Source organism: Homo sapiens, chromosome 2 (genome assembly GCF_000001405.40).
Source record: "Homo sapiens chromosome 2, GRCh38.p14 Primary Assembly".
In the NCBI taxonomy this organism is placed as follows: Eukaryota; Metazoa; Chordata; class Mammalia; order Primates; family Hominidae; genus Homo; species Homo sapiens.
This window is the reverse complement of record NC_000002.12, coordinates 146859010-146878920: the sequence shown is the minus strand read 5'-3', so window position 1 is coordinate 146878920 and position 19911 is coordinate 146859010. Positions and strand designations below refer to the sequence as shown.

At 35.6% G+C, this 19911-nt stretch overlaps 1 long non-coding RNA gene across 5 annotated transcripts in view; it reads right to left on the bottom strand.

The window, feature by feature from the left end:
- Positions 1-700: 700 nt before the first annotated feature.
- Positions 701-19911, bottom strand: part of LINC01911 (long intergenic non-protein coding RNA 1911) — a 40530-nt gene continuing 21319 nt past the window's right edge. For 4 of the 5 annotated variants that reach the window (NR_187165.1, NR_187164.1, NR_187166.1 and 1 more), the window contains 3 exons: positions 19320-19383; positions 11274-11351; positions 701-999 (listed from right to left, as the gene is read on the bottom strand). This is a non-coding gene — a long non-coding RNA (long intergenic non-protein coding RNA 1911). The remainder of the gene's footprint in view (positions 1000-11273; positions 11352-19319; positions 19384-19911) is intronic. The other variant, NR_187170.1, reaches the window with a different exon arrangement.

Below are 19911 nucleotides of genomic sequence, written 5' to 3'. Positions count from 1 at the left end.
TCATATATCTATATGTATACACATGCATATATGTTCATATGTATACATTATGTGTATATATGCATGCATGCATGTGTATTATATATATAATATCAGTGATCTCTCTTTTTCTATACATATGCATTTTTAGTTGATGGGGTATCTGTAAAAATGCTGTGCTTCTGCCAGCCTAGCTTTCCAAACAGGTCTCATAGAAACAAATGAAATAATCAAAACAACTCCTGTCCCTCCTTCAGCCACACTATTAGTTACCTGTTGAGTAATTTATTTTGCTGAAGATTTCGGAATCCTAAGGTTTAGAAATGAACAATAAATAGATAATCTATAGAACAAATCATACAATAAAGTTGATAATTTAAAAGAAGAAAAGTACCCAGAATATTTCTACTTAAAGGTAAGCTTTTCATATCTTAGGGCATTTTACTTTGTTTTGTTTCACTCTGAAGATCCACAGCTAGCCTTCAAAGGTTTGTGGGCCCCATTGAAATCATATGCTACATTTTGCAATATGTACATTTTTCTTAGGAAAGGTTTCTGGCCTTTTTTATGTAAAATTAAACTTTCAAGATCTACACCCTTCAAATGTTCTATTTTGTCCATTTAATGTGTTAGACAGTAGGATAAATATTTGATAAGGATAGTAAATATAGTAATACTTTACATATAGATAATAATTTCAAATTATTCACATCTCCGTATCTTTTTGACAACTCTAAGAAGTAGAGTATTTTTAATATTCATTTTGATAATGAAGAAATTGAAATTCAGATATCAAGCATCTTGCATAAATGAGTTTTTACATGGTAGACAACGAAACCATTTCTCCCATCTTCAAATCTGCAACTCATCTCAGTAGGCTTGTTCCTTGCCCCACCAGTCTTGTGCTCTTCAGGAATTTCTCTTCCTCCATCTGTTTTCCCATACACATGAGCATGATCAGTTCTTGAACAGCTTGTCCAAATGCTCCCTGTCCCACTTCCTACCATGGTTCCAGGTCTTCTGAGCGTAGAAGAAAAAACAGATCAACAGAATTGATATTTTGAGCTGGCAATCTGGAAGTCAGAATGGTCACACTTCATTGTTGGGTCACAGTAGTGGCACAGAGGAGTGCAAACATAATTATCAGAAAGAGCTTTGTACTGGAAATTCGGAGGCAGAGGTACAAGAAAAGGAGTGAACTTAGAATAAAGCAGGCAGGAGAAAGGCAAAGAGAGATATGTCAGCTGGTGTCATGGACCTAGGCTCAAATAGAAAAGATTCCTTTTCAGCACTAGAATTGTAAAACCTTACTAATGCTGGGAGAGCCTGTTCCCAGTAGCTTTTAGTGACTCTGTCTCTATCAGTAACTACTCTTTAAATCATCCTCCCTAGACAAAAGAAATGCATCAAAGGAAGGAGTAAAGAAGTTGAGGCCAAAACAGTCCATCTGACCCAACTCCCTAGGGAAATCTAAAGCATCTTAACTCTGCAGTGCCACCTTTATACTGCATGGATTCTAGTCCATTGAATCTTTGCAAGCCAAAACCATCTTTATTATTTTTCTCACGCAAACCTGACATCCTTTATCAGACTGGGAACATAAGTGTTTCTTCCTTCCTCCTCTTCATCCTCTTCCTGGAAGCTTTCACCTACCAAAACTAACAAAAACTTTTGCAATGTAATTTAAGCCTGAGAAGAGATAATACTGTGTTATGGTTCCTGAGGACCTGAGATATATCTCATTCATTCTTACTGTTTGCATTAAGAAATTGAGGTCCAGAAATATCACATCACCTAATTGGAGGTAGATGCCTTGGGCCTTTGGATCCCTGGCTCAGACCCACCCCCTCTGTACTGTGAAATGTTCAGTACATACATTGTCAATAATATTGCTTAACTGACTGACAGGAAAGGAAGTTAGTCACTGCTACTTATTCTTGGTATTAAGTTCAATATATGTATTCTATTTATCTAGAAACATAAATAAATTCAGAACCCCTTGGTACTTATTTTTCATATCAGTGCATGCATGCAGCAGATTAACCAAGTCAATATTTATCCCTACTTCAGACCATTTAGTTTTCTGTCTTACCAAGACAAGCATTGTGATTGGGCATATCCTAGGATACAAGAAGTTTCCACAAATCTATAGATATTCCCCACCACTAAGGGAACAATACACTTTGTAAACAAATGCTGTTTGTGTCTATGAGGACATGCAAAGCACTACAATGTACCTATCAGGGTATCTCAACACTCTTCCCTGCTTAGTCTCAGAGTCCTAGACATTGGTGGTGAAGAAAGGATGGAGACAGGAGAGAGAATGGACAATGTTAAGTGATACCTGAATTGACCTGTAAAGTCAGAGCAGATTTCAAAGAAAAATTGCAAAGCTAGTGAAGTTTCTCTTTGGAATTTTTATTCATTTCCAGATGTCTATTTTAATCAATAAGAAAACTTCTTGTCTGCTGAACTACTGGGGTGCTGATCCCAAATGGGTTTCTGGCTGACCTGAACCTCACTTTCTCTGGCATGTAGCATTGAGGAGAGAGCAAAGGTTTTGCAGTCCTCTCTTTGCTCTGCTAAGATAACCGGCACTGTTCCATTTGGGAACCGTTGGGAACAGCATTTGTCCAGCGCTGGGAGAGATGGCCTTCCCAACCTCAATTTCTCAATGATAGACATGGAACATAATTTGTAACTCTAAGCCACTGAAATTTTGTATCCGTGTGTTACAAAATCCTAAGCATAAATTAGCCTTTCCTAACTAATACATTCCTCCCCGCTTTTTCCCCTCCTAGTAAAAAATTAATGGAGTTCTGTTTATGGAACAGGAGATTAGAAAGTCACTCATTGTCTTGGTCGGCTCAGGACACTATAGCAAAATACCATATCCTGGGTGGTTTAAACAACAGACATTTATTTCTCACAGTTCTGGAGACTGGAAGCCCAAGTTCAAGATACCAGCGTATCTGGTTCCTGGTGAGAGCCTTTTTCCTGGCTTATAGACAGCTGCAGGGCTGGGGTGAAGATCTTGTGTTTCTTCATTTCCTTATAGTGGCAGTAATCCCATCATGAGGGTCCCACTTTCAGGACCTAATCTAAACTCAATTACCTCCCAAGAGCCCTACTTCCAAATACTATCACGTTGGGAGATAGGGCTTCTATATATGAATTTTCTGGACACATTCAGTCCATAACACCTACATATTACAACTAGTAATACAGGCAGAATGAACAGTGGCATTCTAACACCAATTTAGTTGAAGGTAAAGCAGTGCATCCTATTAAAAGCAAACCTGGTGAAATGAGAGGGAAGAATGAGTGAGTGGTTCTTCCATTTAGAGGTGGCTGAGGGGCACAGTGCATAAGAGAAATGATGTTATGTGACATTTCCTATATTGGCATTTCATCCCAATCTCTACTAGATTAACAACCCTGAAAAATTTTCTCAACTTCCCTGAGCCTCAGTTTCCTCATCTGTTAAAAATATATATATATTTCTCATATTGTTGTTAGGGGGATTAAATGAGATAACACATATAAAATACCTAGCATAATGCTTGGAGATTAGCAGTACATTTAATAAATAGAACAATTATTTTTATATTTTTATTCTAACAGTTTTTTCATCTCATCTCAATTCCTGTCTGATTACAGCCATGCATGCTTCAGCAGTGTAAAAATAATTATTTTCATTCATTTGAATGGCTTACCACTTTTGCCTAATGATGTGTAGCACAATAGCTGTTATACATATCATTAAATATGTGTCTGATTAATCTTATTATAATTTTAATTGCAACATGAAATTCCTCTCATGCATACTCAGCCATCAAAGGCTGTTGTTCATGAAACATGGCTGGCTACTGTCAACCTGAAAGAATTACAGGGAACATTGATCACATATAGTATATATCATAGACCTAAGAACAGCCTTGCACAAAGGACAGAAAACAAATTTGGGAGTCATATACACCAAGAACTGAAAGCTTTACCCAACCACTGTAATTTATTCAACTTTCTTCTGAGAGTTTTTCTCTGAAAAATGTGGCCAGTGATACCCACCATGTAGGATCTTGTGAGGAATCGAGATATTTTATGTAAGGTGATCAACAAGGACCTTGGAACACAATAGACAGTTAATTATATTAGATATTACTACTTTCATACTTTTGGACTTTAACTTGGAAGGGACTTCCAGAAGCCCATAGTATTAACCACCTCTGCTTCAAAGGCGAGATGTTGTCACCTCCCCCACTCTCATTTTCTACAAACACAGGGTATAAGACACCAGCATGATTTGCCCAAGGTTAGGCAGCTTGCAAGTGAAGGAGGTAGAAGCTGAGCCAGCAGTGGGTGCCCCACCTCTTCCTTTACTTCCTTCTTTCACTCAGCTCATGCCCGTGGTTGGCGAAACAACCCAAAGCACACATTCTTCTGGTGCTGAGTCAGTGGCATCCTGTGCCTTCCCAAAGAGAGGAAGCACATTTGAGTCAGGAGGAAATGGAATTGCCAAGTAGGAAAAGAAATCCGAGAACAGAGGACAGCCGACCTGTTCTGTGCTATAAATGTGGCAAAAAGCCACATTAAAGTGGTTCTGTAGACTCAGTAATCTTGAGAAAATTAAAATCTGTCAGTATCTGAATCTACATTCCTCCTTCAGGAAGGAAACTAGAATGACTTCTTGTTAATAAGAACCTGTCTTCATAAGGCCTAAACCCCAAGTTTCCCAGGAGACCTGGCCCTCCCTTTGGCTGTCATCCCTGAATACTTTCTTTATCATTTAGGTCTCCTTCACCTGAGTCTGACTCAGTGTACAGATGGAGCAAGGAATCTGAGCTGTCCCAGATGCTGGCTGCACACTGTCATTGTAGTAGTGGCTGCTCATTCAAGGACCCCATCTAACACGTGCAGTCCCATCTCAGAATGGGTAGCTGCTTTCTCAGAAGGTTTAGTGCTGGTGCATAAACCTTGACTCAGAGCCCTATGAGGCTGATAGAAAAGTCAGACTTGACTACTCGATTTCTTTCCTTTCCATTATCACTGTGACCTAGTTTTCTCTCCAAAGCCATGGGGACAGTGTGTTAATGGTGGTTTGAACCTTGGCATAGTATCTCACTGGGAGGTGAGTCACTTTTCTTCTCAGGTGTTCCAATGAAACGGTCATTGCAAGGATGAAATAAAAGACTATGGCTGAATAGACTAGATATACATTAGGTATGAGGAAAATGATACTGTGCCTTTATTTGCTGCAAAATAAAAGCTAAGTTTAGAGAAAGAGCTATAATAAATATAAATATTTCTGATAATTTCAAACTGATAGGGTTAAAGATAGAGGAGAGTGCTACTTCCCCATCATGTTGAATATCTCATTTTCTATAACCATTACTTAAAATTTATGATGAATTTATGAAAAAAAATTTAAAGTTTATATGGAGAAGCAGTGAGACTTTAGAGAGTAATTAATATATATATATTAGGTATTCATTTCCATTTTAATTGAAATGACTTTTCATACATCAGGAAAACCTTTAATAAAGGAAGCAAAACTAGACGTTTGACATGACACTTTGTTGATGAATTCGGAGTATTGAAGCAATTTGAGGGTAAATATTTTTCTGGTTATGATAGAATCAAGTTGTGATTTTTCTGGTTATGAACTTGTGGTTTGGAAGATTAAGAGCTTTGTTGCCAGAGAAGTTGTTTTTCATCAGCTTGGGCAGTTTTGTTGGGTTCTTCAGTAAGGTCCTGGCAAAAGCCAGTCTCATGATTAAAGCTGAAAATCCCATGATGCTCCATGAATTTTTTAAACCTAAATATATTCATAATAATAAACACATGGTATCTCAATGTCCTTCATAACAATTTTGGAGAAGTGGGGAAGCAGTTAACTTCTTTTTGTCTGCATTAAGTGTCAATGAAGGAGAAAATGGGCTTTTATATAGGTTCTATAAGCTGGAAGTTCTGAAGCATTTTCTATAAGTCATATCATCTATACTACTAAGAGTTCAATATGTTATGTGTACAATTTGTTTATATCAATATACCCACGTATAACACCATTGATGCCACGAAGAGTTAGAAAAAGTAACACTGTGGAAATGTTAGTGTGAGCCAGTATTGCCTGTTTGTATGGCTTGATGATTTCAAGCCTATCTGGCACATAAGCCATATGGGGCTATTCCTGGAATGTGATTTCCATTTGGGCTCAGTCCTATGACTAGCTGATAAGGGCTGTGGAAATGTATATGAGAGGAAATTTGTAGCTGTTATACCCTCATCTAGATAATCAAATTGAGGCACCTATAGATGAATAGCTCCAAGTTCTGTCTACCTTGCAGACTACTGAGGAAGATGAAATGTCAGTAAGTGGACCCATACAGTTCAAACCTGTGTTGTTCAAGGGTCACCTGTATAGTACTTGCAGTTTTCTGGAAAGTGTGTTAAGTTTCATGTTGAAAAAGTATTGTTGCTGCATAACCATCCAGGTACAATTCTTACCATGTTCTCTTGTTTCTTTAAATTAAATGAAAACTTTCACAAACTCCTTCCCTTATCTCATAGCCCAATTTTCAGGAAGTCTAGAATTTTGCTCTTGTCTCATTTGCCCTCATTTTACCAATGAGGAGACAGTTTCATAGCATGAGAGGGATAACTGCTGAGTTAGGTTAACAAAAATTATTGACATAAGAGAAGGCCCTTGGGAACAGTGACAGGATTGTTACTTAGACCTTCTTTTCTTGGGTCATTATGAACTTGAAAAGGAAATCTATGTTCCATCTCTCTTGTTTGTGTTCTTAAGAGTGAAGCAAGGAGATTTAATACTTAAAAAAAATGCTGGAATAGGGCATACCTACTGTATGTCAGGCACTGAACTTGTGCTAAGGATACAGCTGTGAAAAAGACAAACATAATTTACATTCTCAAATGCCACTGTGAAAAGATAAGCGAACAAATAAGTGGTGAATACGTTGGGGACTAGTTCTTCCATTGCAAAATTACTACTATGGGAACTTACAGCAAAACAGCTAAAGTACAGTAAGGTTATCTTTTATAAAATTAACCAGAAATAACTACAGAATTTTGGAGTTGTAGGTTGGGCGCCGTGGCTCACACCTGTAATCCAAGCACTTTGGGAGGCCGAGGCAGGTGGATCACCTGAGGTCAGGAGTTCGACACCAGCCTGGCCAACATGATGAAACCCCGTCTCCACTAAAAATACAAAAATTAGCCAAGCATGGTGGTGGGCACCTGTAATCCCAGCTACTCAGGAGGCTGAGGCAGGAGAATCACTTAAACCTGGGAGACAGAGGTTTTAATGAGCCAAGATCATGCCATTGTACTCTAGCCTGTGCAACAAGAGTGAGACTCCACCTCAAAAAAAAAAAAAAAAAAAAAAAAAAAAAGGAGAAGAAGAAATTTGGAGTTGTAGACACCCTTTGTGAGAGGCTTTGGACAGATATAGAATCTCTGGCCTGTTTAGGAAAAGAAGGGACATCAGTTTCCTACTACTTAACAAATGACTACAAACTTAATGGTTTCAAACATATTATCTTAAGAGCTCTACAAGTTAGGAGTCTTATAGGACTAAAAATATCAGCAGAGCTATGTTCCCTCTGGAAAGTCTAGGGAGATTGTGTCCTTGCCTTTTCCAGCTTCTAGAGCAAGCTTGTCCAACCCGCAGGGCACACGTGGTGCAGGATGGCTTTTAATGCGGCCCAACACAAATGTGTAAACTTAAAACATTGTGAGATTTTTTTTTTGCGATTTTTTTTAAAGCTCTTCAGCTATCATTAGTGTTAATATATTTTATGTGCGGGCCCAGACAATCCTTCTAATATGGTCCAGGGAAGCCAAAAAATTGGACACCCCTGTTCTAAAGGCTTCTGACCATCCTTGGCTCACAGCCATGTCACTCAACTTCTGCACATCTTCTTTGCCTCTAACTCTCTTGCATCCCTCTTTCACCTGTAAGGACCTGTATGATTACACTGAGCCTGCCTATATAATCCAGGATACTCATCTCAGCATTCTTAACCACATCTGTAAAGTAATTCTTTGCCATGTAAAGTAATAACGACTCATACATTCTGGGGATTAGGAGGTAAATGTCTTTAGGGAGGGAATTCTGTCGCCTAGCACAGAACATAGAGTGAGAATTAAAAATGTTTCAATTTAACATCTGTTGGGGATGGAATGTTTTTGTAGCCCCCCAAATTAATATGTTGAAATCCTAACCCTCAATATAATGGTGTTAAGAGGTGGGGTTTTTGAGAGGTAATTAGGTCCTGAGGGGAGAGCCCTTATGAATGGGTTCAGCATCCTTATAAAGGGGTTCACAGAGAACTCTCTCATCCTTTTCTCACCATGTGAAGATAAATGAGAAGACAGCCACCTGCAGCTCAAAAGAGAGCCCTCACTGCAACCCATCCATGCTGGTGCTCTGGTCTTGCACTTTCAGCCTCTAGAACCGTGAACAATAAATTTCTGTTTTTTATTAGCTACCCAGTCTATGGTGCTTTGTTATAACATCTCAAGCTAAGACAATAATTAATTCAGGTCTTAATTATTTGAAATAGATAAATATAGATGGAAAGACATTTTAGGTTGAGTTGTGAGGAAATTATCTTCAAACTCATTACTGTCAGTTTTGCATGAGGCTCTTTTACAGTCTACGTCTGAAACACAGATGCTTCCTGGATCTTTAATGTTTAGACCTTGTTTTTCTTACAGAATAATCATGAGTCCTCGTGATTGCCCTTCAGATACCTTCAAAGGGCAGTTTAAACTAACTATAAGTTGGAACCACTCTTCTTTTGGAATAAATCAATAAAAATAGTGGGATCTCCTAATAATAGGTCACTAATTGCTGAAAGAATAGACCAAAAAATATTTAATATATTTCAGCCCTGTGCCAGTTACGAGAGTAAGTAAAAAGAGTATACACTCCAAAGCTATTGGCCAAAACATGAAAAAGAAAATAAATGCTTACATGGGTCTTCCAAATTAAAAGCTAATGTAAAGGTTGGATATTAGATTTTATAATGTACATTATATTGTACATACCAGAGAAAAAGAATCAATAGGTGATATATATTAGGGATACATATATACACACACATACATACACAGATATATATATATGAGATTTAGAGAGAGACTTATTTTAAGGAATTGGCTTATTCTAAGGAGTTGTGGAGGCTGACAAATCTGAAATTCTTTGGCCAGGCTAGCAGGCTGAAAATTCAAGTAAGAGTGAGGTTGCAATCTTGAATCCAAAATCAGCAGGGCAGGCCAGCAGACTTGAAATTCAGGTAGGATTCCCATGTTGCAGTCTTGTGGCAGAAATCCTTCTTTGAGAAACCTCAGTCTTTTCTCTTATGTCCTTCAACTGATTGGATGAGGCCCACCCAAATTATGGAGGATAATTTGCCTTACTTAAAGTTAACTGACTGTAAATGTTAACTTACATCCACAAATACCTTCACTGCAATATCTAGACTAGTGTTTAACCAAATAACTGAGCAGCATAGAACTGAGGCATGTTGATACATAAAATTACCATCACAATGCCCAAGGCTGAGAGCAGGATTCTTATTTCTTTGGTTGGGGCAGTGGAGATTTTTTTTGAGCAGAATAGTCTTGAGAATTAGCAGTAATTCTCACGACTACCACTTATATTACTACAGGCTGGCATTTAAATAAAATAAAAGAAGTCAAAGATTTCTTGGAACTGAAAATTGGGGAAATATGAGATTTTGTTACTTATCATTGTACATAATTTCTTAGTAATGATTATTACTAGAACTACTTTATTGCGCAGCCATCAATTCATGTAGAAGGACATGGGCATAAATCCCTGTGTTGATTAATTATTTTGGGAGCCTGGAATCACCTTGAATTAATCAGCCAGGTTACTTTAGAATATAATATATGACATTAATTTTATGATACTGTGACAACTGTGGAGAAACGAGCTGATTTGAAAATGGACCACCCATCACATTGATAAATAGAAACTGCCCAAATGCAGAGGAAATGTTGACTTAGAGAAATTTACAGATATTGGTGTTAATAAAAAAGTTCCTCAATATTAAATATAACCAGATAATTTTTAAAAACTTGAAAGGATTAGGAGCTTAAATAAGTAAACGAAGCTGAGTTTAATGCAGAGAGATGTTTTACTAGATCCCTTTTGAACTACATTTTTAACTGAAAGAAAAAGACTTTTAAAAGTCACCAACATAATTATTTTAAAGATAACAACTGATGCTCATCTTTGTACCTGTTCAGCTACTATCTACTGGCATCATGCAGGAATGCTGGGCCACAGAATCAGGATTTCTATGTAGAACCATATGCACATATATATCCTATACAAGAGGATGTTGGTGATAGAAAACATTTGATTTCAAGGTAATGAATCAAAGAGCCTGACTTTGTATTCTGTGTGGGTGTATGTGTGACAGAGAGAGAGATTTGTCTTAAGGAATTGTCTCAGTGCCTGGAGGTCTGGTAAATTCCAAATCTTCAGAGTAGACTGGCAGCCTGGAGATCCAGGGAGCAGTTGACTTTTGAGTTTAAAAGTAGTCTGCTGACAGGGAAGTCTGCATTCTCATAAGGCCTCCAACTGATTGGAAGAGGCCCATTTACTTTATGGAGGGCAGTCTGCTCCAAAGGCCACAGAGTTAAATGTTAATCTCATCCAAAAAAACACCCTCACACAAACATCTAGAAGAATGTTTGACCAAATATCTGAGAAATGTCTCCAGCCAAACTAACACATAAAATTAACCATTACAGATTCTTAACTGATTTAAGCTATGAGTTGGAATCACATGTGTAATGGGAATACAAGTAAGAATAGAAGAAATGAGTGGATAATATGAAGTTCTTCCAGACTGGATAGTCCCGTTTTATTTCCCAAGAGCTCTTTAGACCTCATAAATGCAAGTACAACTCTAATATTAACTGTAATAAAAATGACTGTTTAAAGAGAATATAATGGTGGAGTAGCAAGAAAAGGATGTCAGCTCAGGAGGAGACAAAAGGTGAGTCTTTTTAGCAAGTAAAACAGCCCTATTCATTTCCTCCCTTATGGGTGCCTCCTGTCCCTCCTCTGCACCACTGAGTGCAGCTGCTCAGTAGCATGCAATGCTCAGCTCTCAACTTCTCTGCATGCCCCTTGTGCTCCTGACAGCAAAAGGGGAGGCTCTTGGAGAGACATTGCCAGCAAGATGCATTTCTAGGTTGGGCGTAGCTCACTACAGCAGAGGCAGTGCTGAACTCACCATCTGCAACGCCTACTTGTTTTCCAGTCAGATTTGTCCACCGAGTCTTCCTCACTCCCCGCTGTGCCATCAAGCTGGCTGCAGTAAGAGATAAAGATACTTGTGTTTTTTCTACCACTGACCTATAATCAAGAACCGTAACAATGAAGCACACTAATTCTAATCAGCAAAGGCCACTTATTTACTCATTCGCCTTTTGCCTTTGTGATGTTCAACATGCATCTCCAATCAGTCAGAGAGATGGAATGTGGATTTGATTAGGAAGGACTCCAGGCTCCTGTGCATTCTGAACAGAGGCACAAGACCCCACTCCTAGGCTGTTCTATGACTATTACAACTCTAAACCTCTATAGAATGCTCCTACCACCAGCCAGTCCTAGTACCCACAGCGTACCCAGATGAAAGCAAAAATAAAAAACCTTTCAGATTATTCTTAATTACCTTCCAAAATTCAAGGAAGATTTCCATAAAGAGAAATTAAGCCATTGATTCTATCAATTTATATTTGCATCACCTTTTCCTGATGCATCTTGGAAAAGGTGGAACTAGATGTCATATGAAAGCCAATGGCATTGAAGTCCTTTATAGACCTTTTTTTTTCTCATCTGAAAAGATGATTTAGTTACATTTGAACAGGAGGATGAATTAAATGTTTTGAAATAATTTCTAGGTATAGTCCTTTAATATTCTCTCATAAGGAACTTAGGGATAAACAAACAAAAAAATACAATAAACATGCCTTCTATACTATTCAAAATTAATTAACCAATTAAAGTTCTCAATAAAAAGTAGTTAATTTAACTATCAGATTCTTAACTAATATGGCAAAGCAGTCTTGTTTAATGTGCTTACATTTATTCTTCTATTCCCTAGGCCAATAGTGTTTTTAATTTCCCTTTTATCTTGCCAAAATCTATTAATGAGTATATGTAAGTACGCAAACATTAGGTTAGGAACAATATTAACGTATATAGTAGCCATTCACAATTATCCAGCCATAGCTTAGCCTTCTTTCCATGCTTTGTATACTAAATGGGTCCTTTTATTAACTTACAGATTTTTTTCAAAGTAAGCATTAGAATTTTTTCCTAACAGGCTTTGTGTTGCTACAGGGTTTTCATTCACAAATAGTATTTGTGGGTTTGTGTGTGTATAATGTTGCTAATTTGCAGGTGGGTATTGCAGTTGAATCCCTGGGGACACCGACTCTGAAACAATGGTTGGCTGGTTTTAGCTAAATATATCCAAATTTATCAAAAATCTTAATTTTGTGTTATGTATAGGTCTTTGAAAATATTTCCCTAGATTTAATAACAAGTTTGTAGTTTCTTCTAAAATTGTAGAGTTTTTCACAAAAATTTAAGTGTTTAAACCATCTAGAATTAATTAAAAGGTTTATCATGTCCTATTGTTCTACCTGAGTAGTCAATTTCTGAATATTGAATTTAGTTTTCAAATATTTAATATTATGCATATATGTAACTTATTTCAAATTGTGAAAATTCAATATTTATCAGTGATCAGTTTGTTGCCACTCAGCCCATAAATCATACTTGAAAATCTCCTCTGTTATAATGCACTAGAATCTTCAACATTTTTTCTTTTTCTTAAAATTTATTTATTATTTATTTTTTCCATAAGTTATTGAGGTATAGGTAGTACTTAGTTACATGAGTAATTCTTTAGTGGTGATTTGTGAGATTTTGGTGCACCCATCACCCTAGCAGTATAGGCTGTACCATATTGTAGTCTTTTATCCCTTGGCCCCTCCCACTCTTCCCCCAAGTCCCAAAAGTCCATTGTATCATTCTTATACCTTTGCATCCTCATAGCTTAGCTCCCACATATCATATCAGTGAGAGCATATGATGTTTGGTTTTCCATTCCTGAGTTTCTTCACTTGGAATAATAATCTCCAATCTCATCCAGGTAACTGCAAATGCTGTTAATTCATTCCTTTTTATGGCTGCATAGTATTCCATCATATATGTATACACATACACACATATATATACACACACACACGATATGTATACACACACAGACACACACAGACACAGACACACACACACACACACACACACACACACCACAGTTTCTTTATCCACTCATTGATTGATGGGCATTTGGGTTGGTTCCACAATTTTGCTATGGTGAATTGTGCCACTATAAACATGCGTGTGCAAGTATCTTTTTTAAATAATGACTTCTTTTCCTCTCGGTAGATACCCAGTAGTGGCATTGCTGGATCAAATGGTAGTTCTACTTCTAGTTCTTTAAGGAATCTCCACACTGTTCCCCATAGTGGCTATACTAGTTTACATGTCCACCAGCAATGTAGTGGTGTTCCCTGTTCACCTCATCCATGCCAATATCTACTGTTTTTTTTTAATTTTTTTGATTATGGCCATTCTTGTAGGAGTAAGGTGGTATCGCATTGTGGTTTTGATTTGCTTTTACCTGATAATTAGTGAGTTGAGCATTTCTTCATATGTTTGTTGGCCATTTGTATATCTTCTTTTGAGAATTATCTATTCATGTCCTTAGCCCACTTTTTGATGGGATTTTTTTTTCTTACTGATTTGTTTGAGTTCATTGTAGATTCTGGATATTAGTCCTTTGTCAGATGCATAGATTGTGAAGATTTTCTCCTACTCTGTGCTGTGGATTGTCTGTTTACTCTGCTGACTGTTCATTTTGCAAAAGCTCTTTAGTTTAATTAGGTCCCAGCCATTTATCTTTGTTTTTATTGCATTTGTTTTTGGGTTCTTGGTCATGAAATCTTTGCCAAAGCCAATTTCTAGAAGAGTTTTTCCAATGTTATCTTCTAGAATTTTTATAGTTTCAGGTCTTAGGTTTAAGTCCTTAATCCTTCTTGAGTTGATTTTTATATAACGTGAGAGATGAGGATCCAGTTTCATTCTCTTAGATGTGGCTAGCCAATTATCCCAAGACTGTTTGTTGAAAAGGATGTCCTTTTCCCACTTTCTGTTTTTGTTTGCTTTGTTAAAGATCAGTTGGCTGTAAGTATTTGGGTTTATTTCTGGATTCTCTATTCTGTTCCATTGGTCTATATGCCTATTTCTATTCCAGTCAGTACCATGCTGTTTTGGTGACTATGGCTTTGTAGTATAGTTTGAAATCAGGTAGTCTGAAGCCTCCAAATTTGTCCTTTTTGCTTAGTCTTGCTTTGGCTATGCGGGCTCTTTTTTGGTTCCATATGAATTTTAGAATTGTTGTTTCTAATTCTGTGAAGAATGATGGCAGTATTTTGATGGGGATTGTGTTGAATTTCTTTCTAATGGGCACTATGTTAAGCTTTGTCAGGAGAGGGTGTCTGAGGAACATTCCAGTAAGATGGGGACTTCTCTTCTGGGTTCTGGTGTGTTTCCATCTGCCACTTCTTGCTCCTGCTGTGTGGTTGTTCAGTAATGTGGGTCACCCAGAGTGCTTAGGCTCTCAGCAACTGCTCAGCCCTGGCTTGGGCCCAGTGGCCATCTTTCCAGAACCATTTAGATGGAGGTAATGCATATGCCAGGCCTGTTCTGGCCCAGGTGACCCAGAGGCTCCTTTGACATGGGGAGGCTGCAGCCACACCTTTCAGCTCCAGCCTTTTGGGAGAAGAACTCACATTCCAAGTTTGCCCTTCCTTGGATACCCTTCCTCAGCTCCAGGGTACACTGTAGGGATCGTTTTACATTTTTATAGTCATTCTTCTATCAAAACAATAGGTATATCAAATTTCCCAGGTTTCAATTTTCGTGTATTTTCTGGTTCCTAATTGAATCCAGCCTAATGCAAACAGCACTTGGTTTCCAATGGATCTGTAATGCTATTGCTGTCATATATTCACGGTTATGGTTGTGGGGTGGGTGGTTGCTAACTTGCCTTTTTGTATTTTTTTTCCCAATGCCAAGTCTTAATTATTCAATGGCTTCTCAGTGCCATTTTTAAACCATTTAGTTACTAAAAAAACAATTAAATTTACTGTTTATATATATAAACTATATATATTTAGTATATATATATAGAAATATATATACTAAAAAATTCAATTAAATTTATTGTTTATATATAAACTACATATCTAATAAACTAAAGAGTAAACAAACATATTTAATTAAATCTAAAATGTGACATATTTATATTTAATTTAAAATATACACATATATTTTGATTATCTATATACAGATGCTTAATATGATATCCATTGTGTTTTCCTTTTATTATTATTCTTTAAACTTATCTTGATTTCTACTTGCCCATTATTCTTCACATTAATTTTAGAATCAACTTTTCAAATTCTTCAAAAAAGTTTCTGTGTCTGATCAATTGGTATTTAACTAAATTTAAATTCATTTAGGGAGAATGACCAGATTTACAATACTGACTCCTCCCATTCATGAACATAGTATTTTTCTCCAGAAACTTATTTTGTTTATCCAGATCTTGTTTGTCTTTTAATTTAAAAATTATTATTTTTCTCCAAAAACTTACTTTGTTTAATCTACTCTTAGGTAATTATACGTTTTTTGATATTCTAATGAACAGTTACCTGTTAACAATATATTTCCTGATGAATAAGAAAAGTTTTCATGTGTTTATATGTATCTTGTTCCCAGGAAACTCACTGAATTCTCTCATTAGATCTAAATTTTGTTTGGAGATTCTTTTGAATTTTCTAAGTACACCTTCATATTATCTGCTAATAGTTGCAATTTTCCCTTACTGTTTTCATTTTTTAAATTTCTCAATCTTTTTTAACTTGGTTACTTAATGTAGTCAATACAGTGTTTAATAGAAGTGGCAATAAGCATGCTTTCTCTGTTCCTGATTCAAAAGGAATAGATCTAAAATTTTAACACAGTATACTATTTACTAGAAGTTTTGGTCATATATCTAGGGAAACTCACTAGTATTACTAGTTTGCTATCAATTTTGAATCAAAATTAAGAGTTGAATTTTATAAAATGCTTTTCTCTGTGGAGATAATTATATGATCATTAAAGCAGAAGATTACATTAATAGATTTTCTAAAATTAAAACATCCTTTATTACTGACTATACTCAATCATAAAAGATGTTTCATGATTTGATTCCTTTGATTCATTTAATTAGTGCTTTTGGATGTGGTCTTATAAGTTTAATTACCCAATAATTTTGCTTTCTGATTCTGTCATTGTGTAGTTTTAATACAAAAATGTTTGTAGTATTATAAAATGAGTTGTAATTTTATATTTTCTCCATAATCTAAAACAAGTTATATAAGAAAAAATATTTATTAATTGAGGGTGCTTTTTTTATGAGCATGGATTCATGAGCATGGGAATGAAAATCAACTATAGGTTTCTTGAAACCACTGAGATTATAATTTGTTATCACAGCTTGGCCTAGTCTATTCTTACTGATTTTATAGCCAAATTCCAATTGGTCTTCTATTGTTTTTAATTTGAGACTCTGTCCTTCAATTAATGGTTTGAATATAATAAAATTTGCTATGGTTTTTGTTATACTTGGCCTTACTTCTTCAGTATTGGGCTTTCTTCATACAGTATGTTTTTCTTGCCTGTTTTTTCCACCTCTTTCCTTCTATTGAATTGTTAATGATTAATTTATTTCATTTTTTCCACAGTTTTCTTGTTTGGAGCTTATTCAATTTTCATTATATTAGTAGTTGGCCTTAAAATTTTAACATGCCCAATTGTCTTAATAATGTCTACATTTGACCAGTTTATCCCCACTTAGTCTAAAAAATTCAATAGAACTTAAATTTTTACTGCAATTAATCACTCTCAAATTGTTGTCTCGAATTTTAGTTGTAATTTTAATTCCCCTCTAAATTGGTAATTGTGATTAAAAAAAAAGTATTTAGACAATTTACCTAAAAGTTTTATTTTATCGAAAAGACAGTCTATTTAAATACCTAAGTTCATAAATTCTTCTAAAATTCTAAACAATTTTTCTAGAATTTGATGAGCAATTTCTTTCCTTATTCCTTCTTGTAGGTTTGTTTTTGATTTAATTTATTTTTTATCAAGAACATCTATTAATTGACCTTTCAATCAGAATCTGAGTGGTAAATTATCTCTGTCTCTTAAATGCCTTCATTTGTATTAATATTTGAAACTGTTTCACTGGAACTTTAGAATTTTAGGCTGTTATTTTTATCTCAGCTTTTTGAAGATATTATTTTATTGTCTTCTTACATTTTTGCCAAGAAGTAAACTGTTAACAATTTTGATTCCTTTGTAAATAACCAAGTCTTTTTACTCTTTAAAAACTTCTGATTTGTAAAACTTTTCTCTTTTTTTAGATCCTGCATTTTCTCCATAATATACGGAGGTTTGGATCTATATTTATTTATTGAGTTCATATTTATTTTGCTTATTTAATCCAAGAATTTATGCCTTTCACTAATTCTGGAAAAATTTCACCTATTATTTCTTTGATTTTTTTCTGTCCCCAATTAACTCTTTTTTCTTTTATCAACCTTTGTTGAACTTAAGTCAGATCCTTTCATTTTAGCCTAGGTGGTTGTTCCATTGTGTTGTCTACATTCATGTCTCTCTTTTGCTTCCTCAATAATGTAGCCATACCCAGCTTCCAGCTTATATATTCCTTTTGAGTCCAGCTTTATTTGATGTTAAATTGTTACAAAAAACTTAGTGGTATTAATAATCATATCTCTAATGCCTTTAAGTGTATTTGCTATTCTTGGTGTCTTTTAGCTTATAGGATTCTATTCCTTCTTTTGCACCTTAAATAATTATTTAAAAACCTATTTTTCACACACTGTAGGTTGCTTTATTTCACAAGTTTTTTTGTTACAAGTTCTTCTGTTTGTTGCATCTCCTCTCTTCATCATGGAAATATTTTTTAGGAATTTCTTTAATTTTTGTTGTTCTCTTTTCTCTGCATGTGTTCTATGAGCGCGAGATTATGAAAATGGGATTTCAGAGTAATTTTGGTTTACAACTGCCACTGCCTTCAGAGGCTTAATTGGTCTGGTATCAGTCCTTATGTAAATTTTTTTGAGATCTCTGCACAATTAGTACAGTGTAAATTTGAAATGTATATATGCAGAGGACAGTCTTGGGATTTCAGTTTCTGCAAAGAGACTTTAAAAGAAATACAGAATCCTAGTCAGACACAGAAACGTAATTATTTCTTGGGACTTTTCTGGGCCTGAAGGTACAACTTCTCTAAGTCAATTTTCACCAAGTAGGAAGATTTCCCAGGGTTCAAATCTCATTCAGGGATTCCAGTTCCAACTGTGAACTTGTCCTCTGCCCCTGCCTGTGAAATACTATCCTGATCTTGACATGTTGGGCTCATTTTAGAGGTCATATTTCCCTCGTCTTTCATTTTAGATCTCATTCTGAAGTGTTGCCTCATGTGTTTTGTTCTTCTGACTTCAAGTTCCTGAGACTTGGTCATTTTTGTCTGTCTTTCAAGGTTAGCTAAGTATTTTCTTTACTTTTGTTTAATTGTCATATCTTAGCATTTGTAAGTATTTGGAATGAGGTAGAAGTCTGCATCATTTCAGTCCACCATGTTTTGAACTTGACTTCAGTCATTTTTAAATACATGCTTTCTTATTTTAATTTTTTGCATAATTATATTTACATAGACTGTGAATTTTTACGGCCTATTTTCTATTATTAAGGTTCTTGCCAAATATGAAATAAATCTCTTTCTGAAGTATTTGTACTATCTTAGGGTTCTTGCATCATTGTCTAAATAATGTAGAGTTGTCGTTTTATCACTAGCATTTAGTATTGGGTAATATATTGATTTATATTTGCTAACTTGAGAGGTAATCTAGAACCCAGATTTACTATACCTATATCTATATATTATAGTGGCAATTTGTTAATAAACTAATGAATTGTATAATGTTTGAATTGTATTGGAAAATCAAAAGAATAGCATTTAAAAAGGTTTTGGTGTCAAATACGTCAGATACTTAGAATATTTTAAAAGCAGTGTGTAAATGAAGGTATCATAGCTCAGAGTCTGACTTTATGGCTCATAAAACCCCTCTACCTTTTTGATGTTGTAGTGTTGATCTAATTTAGGTGCTGACTCTTGCAGTCACAGCTCACAGGGGCTGGAATAGAAATTCAGAACATTAGATTGTCAACTCCCAGTGAGAGATGTGTCAGGCAGAATGAATGAATTCTCATGTTAGCCTGATCATTACATTTTCTCTATATAGATGAATATATAAACATAAAAATAATTATATAGTTGTTAGATTATTTTGGAATCAGAACAAGAAGGGGTGTTTACAACTTTTTGAATATTTGATACCATCAGGGCTCAAAACTTGATACGTGAATTCCTTTCATAGAAATGTATTCGCTCAGTGGACCTACACTCACATTCATCTGACACTAGATCTTCATTCATAGAGCTCAGATAATCATTGCTTATGTGTTCTCAATGGCTCCTCTGTATCTATGCTTCTATTGCTAAATAATCTTACTTAGGGTTGCCATCTGCCATTTTGAATCATATCCCTATTTTCAATCAGGTTTTGGCTAAGTTTTGTTAACCTTGCAGTCATTTTCTCCCCTGAAAGCAACTGGCTTTGAAATACTGCTGCTGCCTTTTTCCACCATGATTATTCCTATAA